General features: G+C 42.5%; 1 long non-coding RNA gene across 1 annotated transcript; it reads right to left on the bottom strand.

Moving 5' to 3' along the window:
* Nucleotides 1-250: 250 nt before the first annotated feature.
* On the bottom strand, nt 251-6295 carry LOC105372701 (uncharacterized). The gene is made up of 3 exons (XR_936956.2): nt 6195-6295; nt 1237-1452; nt 251-728 (listed from the first exon to the last, which is right to left on the bottom strand). It is a non-coding gene; the product is annotated as an uncharacterized LOC105372701 (long non-coding RNA).
* Between the last annotated feature and the right edge of the window lie 1550 nt (nt 6296-7845).

Here is a 7845-nt window from a genome sequence, read left to right as displayed (position 1 = left end):
TGCATGCTGTGGCCTGAACCTTTGGTCCAGGGCTCGGTGTCCTCTGAACTGCCCTACCTTCTAATGAGGTGGCACACTTGTTACTCTTATTCATGGCCTGTAGTTTGTTCCAAAGAACCTCTCAGCTTCTCTAACGGTGACTCCACTGTGATCGCTGTCCTGCCTGAAATGGTATGCAAAGCTCGTGTTCATGTCATGAAATGCATGCAGTGACTTAGCATGATGGCAACCTTGGATCTTCGTGGTGAATACCAAGCAAACAAATGTCTTAATTGTACCCTGAGAATGGCCTTGAGTCCTGGAGATGTTATCTCCAAGAGGCTTTATTAACTTGGATGAATCCATATTACCTTCCCCCAAGAGTAGGAATTACAATAAAAGCCAAGTCTATGTAAAGAAAATAAAAATTTACAATATTGCATGAATCATGAAATGCTTCACCCACCAGGAACAAATGGCACATTTACTAAGAATGTTCAGTAAGCCTTTTCGTCTCTCCAACGCGTGGCCAGTACACCCGTATCGGGTTTGTATTCCTCTGGCAGGCACACTGAAGTGAACATTTAGAATCAGTTCCTACAGTGGACAGGCAACGAACACTATTTTGCAGTGTCTTCATTTGTGAAATCATTGACTGGGAAATGATGTTCCAAGTTATTGGCAGGAGTGCTGATCAATAGATATCCAATTTATTTGCCCACGTCCGGCCAATTCCTGAAAGATGGGTCCTTGAAAGATAAGAAATCAGATTATGTCTTGTGGTAATAATAATAACAACAACGACAACAACAAATAATAATAGTTATATGCTTGCCTTGGGCTACACTTTGCATGTTATCTCATGGAATGCTTGCAATGTAAAAGTCAGTATTCTAATTTTATAAATTAGGCTTAGTGACCAAATAACTTTTCCGACACACACAGAGGAGCACCCAGATTTGAACTCCTCACCCGTTAATGGCTGTTATTTAGTGGCTTCTCAGCAGTTAAGCCAGCACGCATCCATCATTACCTGAGTGCCGGGCAGTGTGCCAAGCATGCTATGCAGCCTGCCACCGCACTCGGGGTGTGTGGAATGACCCGCTGCATGCCAATAAGGCATGTCAGATCAATTGCACGTCAATAAGCCAGAGCAGCCATCACAGAGTGGATGGTTTCTGAAGCCTGTTTTCTCCCAGATGTGTAGACCAGTCCTCTGGGAAGGAATCTTGTAACAGTGACAGGGCTCTAGGCTACCTCGGAACTTCCTCCTGGCCTCAAATGTAAGAATTGGGAAACAATCTTCAAAGAGCTTGTTTTCCATCCCAAAGGCATCTTCAGTGGGGCACCTCGGGGTCTACATCAGGGGAGGAGGGCAAAGCCAAGGTCGACTGCCCACTTCTCAACTGCTTCACCCGCTGGATACCCCATTGTCAGGCTAAGAAGTAGGCACCATGTAGGGCTGAACCTTCCCTAGAAAAGAAATGACAACAACAACAACAAAATCAGTTTCCTAACTGCGTGGCTCCAGTCTTTCACTGGCGATTTAAATTATATAGCGTTTCTATTATAAACTCCGAAGGATGGCTTCATCGTAGCCACCCCTTGAAAAATCAGTCAAACTTAGATAATAATAGGAAAGTTGAAAGTAGAACGATAAAGACTTTTTCTAACACCTTTTCCCCATTCAAGTTAAATGACACTTTTGTTTACTTGGTTCAGGGAAAATTCCAGTTGCATTGTGAGCTTTTTAGAAGAATGAGAAATTGATTTTCTCCTCATACAGCATGGAGCACACAAACTCTTATAATCTTTATATAATCTTTACAATGATATATAAAGAAAGCCACCTCTGCATATAAATTCATCGGGGCCTGGAAAGTCTGCGTTTTTCAACTGCTCAGCCATATCCTGGTAAACCCTACTGGCCTATTAGGGAAGATAGTTCACTCATATTCGGGGTCCTCTTGCACAAGAAGTCTCAAAATCAAGTGTCCTGGGGTCAGGGTGTGTGAGGAAGCAGAATTCACTGGGTGTGCAGAGCAGAGAAAGAAAAACCCCCTTCTCCCGTTCTCTGTAGCTATAGCCAATTCCAGTGGTGTGGGAAGGTAGCCACAGAGCTATTAGATCTGAAATTTCTATGAAAAGCCAGGAATTCTTTTTTTATATTTAAGTGAAATCGCCTAAGTTTTAAATATCAGCAGGTCATTAAAAAATGAAAAAGGCAAAAAGCACTGTGAAAGTGAAGCACAACGAACCAGCGGGCCGCCCCTTGCTGGCAGGCTGGGGACCCTGGCTTGTTCCTTGATCACGTTGGACCCAAACACTTCCTTGAGCTGCATCCTTGACAGGTTAATTACTCTGAGCGCCTGCCCTGGACAGCGTGGCTTTTATATTCACACATTTTACCTTGTTTCTGCTAATACTTCATTACCTCATTTATGGCTTTGCCTCATGATCTGCTGTCACCCAAATTGTGATATCAGCAGCCTGATTTGACAGGTTATCTCAGGACCTGCTCACATTATTATTCGACTTGCTTTTGGTTCTGTTTTGCAATACTTTATATGCACACACAGACATACTGGGAGATTTAAATGCATTCAGCACCAAGCATTGTATTTAATAGAGTGATTGCTTAGTGCCCTTTGAAACAATTGCATTTAAAATGCATCGTTCTTTTATTTACTTGTTGGGTGTGCACTCTCTACTTGATGCTAATATTACTTGACTTATCATTCAATCAATAATTCCAGAGAACGATTGGTTTCCTTAAACTCTCCTGCAAATGTCCTTAATTTCCTTGCTTTAATTCCCAGAGTCATTCTTATTACCTCCCCAACCTACAGAGGCTGCAGCTTTATGGCTTGTGGCTGTTGATTGAGAGGGCCCCACACCAAATGCTAAAGATAATTCAAGCTTGTGTGTTGCAGTAGGTCCATAGCTTCTACCCTCTTTACATTCCATTTTTAATCCTTCATTGGAAGCTATTTAATTTGTGCACCCCAGAGTAACCTCATTTTAAATTCATGGGCTGTCATTTAAAAAATTAATCAAGCCATATATGTTTCTAAATATATAATAAACATCCATACTATATGGGATGCAGAGGAATTTAGAAAAATATTTCCTATAAATTTTCCATGAGGATCATGGTAGAACTAGAAACACAGAATGCCAGTGGCAAATGCTTTTTCTAGCAATTTGTTTTTACAAATAAAAGACGTGCTCTCGAAATTGGATATTAACAGTGGTACACTGGAAATTGACATGAGCCATGTTTTCACAGAGTGTTGTTAGGTTCCCTGATGCCAGACAAAAGTTGGCTCCGTGAAAATCCATGATTTTATTAATATATACAGGACCTAGATCCTCACCCTGCTTAGAGGTTTTTTAATGAGGTCAATGCTGAAAACATGGGGTTTTGAAAAAAGTTGAATAAATGGCATGTCAGTTCTGTTAAATCATGCTTGGTTATACATTTTTTCCTTTTTCTCCTCAAATATAGCAAGCTAAATGGCCACAGCACTCAGACATCATGTGATCTTGTTAAGATGGGCTACTCGCCCCTCAATAAAGTCACAAAAATGAGGTTGAACAGTGCTCTCTCCTGATACCACACACATGTCCAGATGTCGAGGTATCTATGTGGGGCTTGTCTCCGTGACACACAAGATCATGATGCTCATTAGTGCCACAATTGGTATAATATTAACTTTCGGAGCTACTGAAAGATCTAATTAGATGGAATGAGTGATTTTTAAACACTTCAGGCTGTGATGACACTCACTTTGCAAAATAAATTAAGCTTCCACGCATGAATCTGGGCCTAGTGGGTTGGAAGAAAAAATGCAGCCCTGTCTTTGTCTGATGCAGTTGCTTCTGTAATTCTCATTGTGAAGACTAAAGCACATTTTGTTGTTGTACAGGGTGAGTGGGAGAACCCCGTGAAGTTCATAGATAGTTCTAGACCATATTATTTAGTTACTAAGTCTTAATTGGAATATTTTATTCTTCTAAAATAGGAGGGAAAAATGGCTAGCTTATGGGAACTCCAACATTAATCCCCTTCTTTCTGTATTTCTTTTCTTTTCTTTTTTTTTTTTTTTTTGAGATGGTGTCTGGCTCTATCGCCAGGCTGGAGTGCGGTGGCGTGATCTCGGCTCACTGCAACCTCCGCCTCTCAGGTTCGAGAGATTCCCCTGCCTCAGACTCCCAAGTAGCTGGAACTACAGGTGCGCGCCATCATGCATGGCTAATTTTTTGTATTTTAGTAGAGACAGGGTTTTACCATGTTTGCCAGGATGGTCTCGATCTCCTGACCTCGTGATCCACCTGCCTTGGCCTCCCAAAGTGCTGGGATACAGGCGTGAGCCACTGCACCTGGCCCTTCTTTCTATATTTCTAATTGGCTATTTCGAAGGCAAGATATGTTGTATCCTGTTCACAAATTCAGCAAGGTGAGAAGTAATGTGTCATGATTTAGTGTCTTCTTGAAAACTGCAGCTCGACCTAAGTAGATGCAATCTGTCTCTGGCAAAGATGCTGCAGTGCGTGTGAGCCCAGGCTGGGCTGGGAATTTGTGACCAGGGGCACACATGGGGCGTTAAGATTTTCCAAGTGTTACAGTACCTTGTCACAACATTATGTCACCTCTTCCCAAAGTCTCAAGCAAATTATGACAACATGTAACTTGTCAAATAATTTTCTGTTGAGGCTAATTAAGGTAGACAGCCTATGGGAATATTTCAGATAAGTGGAACCTTCAGAGGCTGGTGTCTGGGTGAGAGATAGGCAGGTGGTTGCTTTAACATGGCGTGCCCATTTCTTTGGAAGACTTTAACTTCGAGTGAAGAGTTCTTACGCAGGCAGTCCGTTTCTTAAGTTTACAGATCTGTTCTAGTCTATAGAAATAACAGCTTGAATGTACAATGATGTATTTTAAAAGGATTCATCTCAGCACCATTTGTATTAGGAAATCGCTGGGGGTCATTATATTGCAATGTATAGGAGTGCAGAAGCAGTTATATAAATTGAGGTATATTCATATGGAATGTGTTGCAGCAGTGAGAAAGAATGTGGTTGATCCTGTGCTCTGACATGGAAGGGTCACCAGTATGGTCAAATGTGGAAAGCAAATCTTAGGATGATGTGCATGTGTAATCTTAATATTGTCAAGGAAAGACAGTAGGAAATCAAATTTTCCGTGTGTGTGTCTGTGTGTGTCCCTCTGTGTCCATGTGTGTGTCTCTGTGCATGTGTCCCTGTGTGCATACCTGTGCATGAGTGTATGCATGTGTGCAGGTGCACGTATGCATGCCCGTGCACATGTATGTATATGTGCACACATCACAGCATTTGTCTGGAAGGTCACACATGCATCAGTTCTCTGCTTTTATCTGTGTGGATGGTATTGAGGTATATGGATGGAGTTTTTATCTACATTTATATTTTCTGTATTTATTACAGCTGGTGTGGATTATTTTGTAACAAAAGCAAACAACCTACAACACAAGAAAAAGCAAAACGTTTGGTCCTTCCAGGGTGAACGCAGCATTTGCAGCAACAGCCCATAGGGAAAGTGAATAACTTAACAGGAAGGATTTAATCTGATTCCGTCGTGGGATGTGCTGGACCAGATGCCTCCAAGAAGGTGGCTTTTGGCTCTTTCTAGAAGGAAGCTGCTGGCCTTTTCTGGGCTTCCTGAGGACTGAGGCAGGCACAGGGATCCACACACACAATGGAGTGGGCCATGGTTTCTCAATGTTCTTTCCCCATTGGTTTCCAAAAAGATGACAAGAATTCAAATTCCACAATCACAGAAATAGCAGCCACCATGATTTAGTTAATAGGCATTATGTATTCTAAGTATTCCCCTAATGTTATCTCATTGAATCCTTGAAACCAGAGTTTCAGGGAGATCTATTACTATTATGAATTTACAAATGAAAATACAAAGCTTAGCAGTAGAGTCGTAATTGTTCCTTAAAACTAGTTGAATTGCAGTGATTTCAGAGAGGTTAGTGCACACATCTATAGCTGTTTCTTTACCTGCTTCCTTTAAGAAGGAACTTTAGAGGAGGAAAAGCTGTTCACACTGGAGGAAAACTCCCTGGTGAGTCTGACTTCTGCCCACATTCTGTGGCTTTGGCCAGTAACATCAATGCACAGCCTTGGTTTCCAATCTGAGAAGTGGGGTCAAAGACTTCACATACCTCCCAGTAGACGTGAGGCATTGAACATCTAAGTGTGGAGATGCTCCAAAACTCTTCGAGGGCCGCGTCCTCCCAGGCCAGCGATGATTACCTGAGTCTGTGCAGAGACCAACGCAAGGCTGAGTCCAGTGCCGCACCTTTGCTACTTTAAGTGGCCTTGAGAAGGGGTGTGGGGCTGTCCCGATTTCCCTGATTTACAGGTTTCCCTGTAAATGTGTACCTTCATGTGTGTCACAGCTCACTGGAGAGAGTTTTATGAGCAGGGGCCTGACTTGACAACAGGGCTGGGGTTGGAGCAAGCTGCTCAGAGGAGGGTTGGGCTCATTAGGGGCCTGGTGGCAGATGAGCAACCTGTTTGCATGGCAGACACACCTACCCCGAGGGAGAAGGAGCATATCAGAGAAGACTGTTCACCTTCACCCTCCAAAGAAACACAGTGACCTGAGCCCTTCGTGCATCACCCCTGAGGCTGCAGCCTGCTTGAATAGCGCATGAAAGAGCTTGGGTTTTTGCCCTGCCAGTAGGAAAGGAGAAAAGAAATGCGCTTGTGTTCTGGGAGAGGCTCAGTAAGTCATCTGCCCATCTAGCTTATGTTAAAGTGGTTGTAAAACTGTTTACTTGACACCCGGGCCCCAGGTCATAAAATTAAAGCCAATCATTAACTAGTGCCTTCCTTAGAGAGAGGCATTCTGTAGAAAAGCACAGGACTGAGCCCTCTCAGCCCTCCAAGGACGCCCCAATTAACAATTGCAATACCCTGTGGTGTCCATAAATATCTTCGTTTTATGTCTAGGAGTGGAAAGAAGTAGAAACTGGGCATTATGGGAATGTATTAAGGTCTCAGAGCCATCAGCTGTAAAAATGTTCTCTACTTCTCTGGGCAAAGCATTTCCCCTGGATGTCAGGGTAGAACACTGGGGTCATATGGCATACGAAGAGAATCACGGGGTTTCCCAAGTAGAGAAAACCACTGTTGTAATGCAAATCTGAATCCCTTCTTTCATAATTTTTGCAACAATCATTTCGAATTGTGCAAGTAATTTTTTTAAGCTTATTAAAAGTGCAAAAATGTAAGGTAATACAGAAATTCGCCTTGACCTTCACCCAAGCCCAGTTCATTGGCAGGCAGATACGCACATGTAAAGATATGTATTTCTGTTTTTCCATAGATAGGATCACACCACACTATATCACTTTGCAAGTTGTTTTTGTCACAGTATATCTTGGAAATCTTTCAGTATCAGTACCTATAAAAGTACTGAATTCTTTGTCATTGACATAATTTTTCATAGCATAGACCAGGGGTTCGGCAAACTGCAGCTCACAGGCCAAATCCTGCCATCAATCTGTTTTTGCTCAGCCCTCCAATGAGGAATGGTTTTTACATTTTAAGCTGTTGTTAAAAAAATACAAAAGAAAATACAAGGCAGAAACAGAATGTCCAACAAAACCTAACACATTTACTGTCTGGTCCTTTCTAGAAAATATGTGCCTGCTCCTGCTGCAGAAGTACCAGGGCTTATCTCCCAAGTTCCCTACTGGTGAGCAGTTTAGTCTTGTTATGGCCTGAATGTTTTTGTCCCTCCTGGATGCACAGGCTGAAATACTAACTCCTAAGATGATGGTGTTAGGGGATGAGGACTTTGGGAGG

The sequence above is a fragment of the Homo sapiens genome, chromosome 20, assembly GCF_000001405.40.
Source record: "Homo sapiens chromosome 20, GRCh38.p14 Primary Assembly".
NCBI lineage: Eukaryota > Metazoa > Chordata > Mammalia > Primates > Hominidae > Homo > Homo sapiens.
This window is presented reverse-complemented; position numbering and strand designations above follow the sequence as displayed.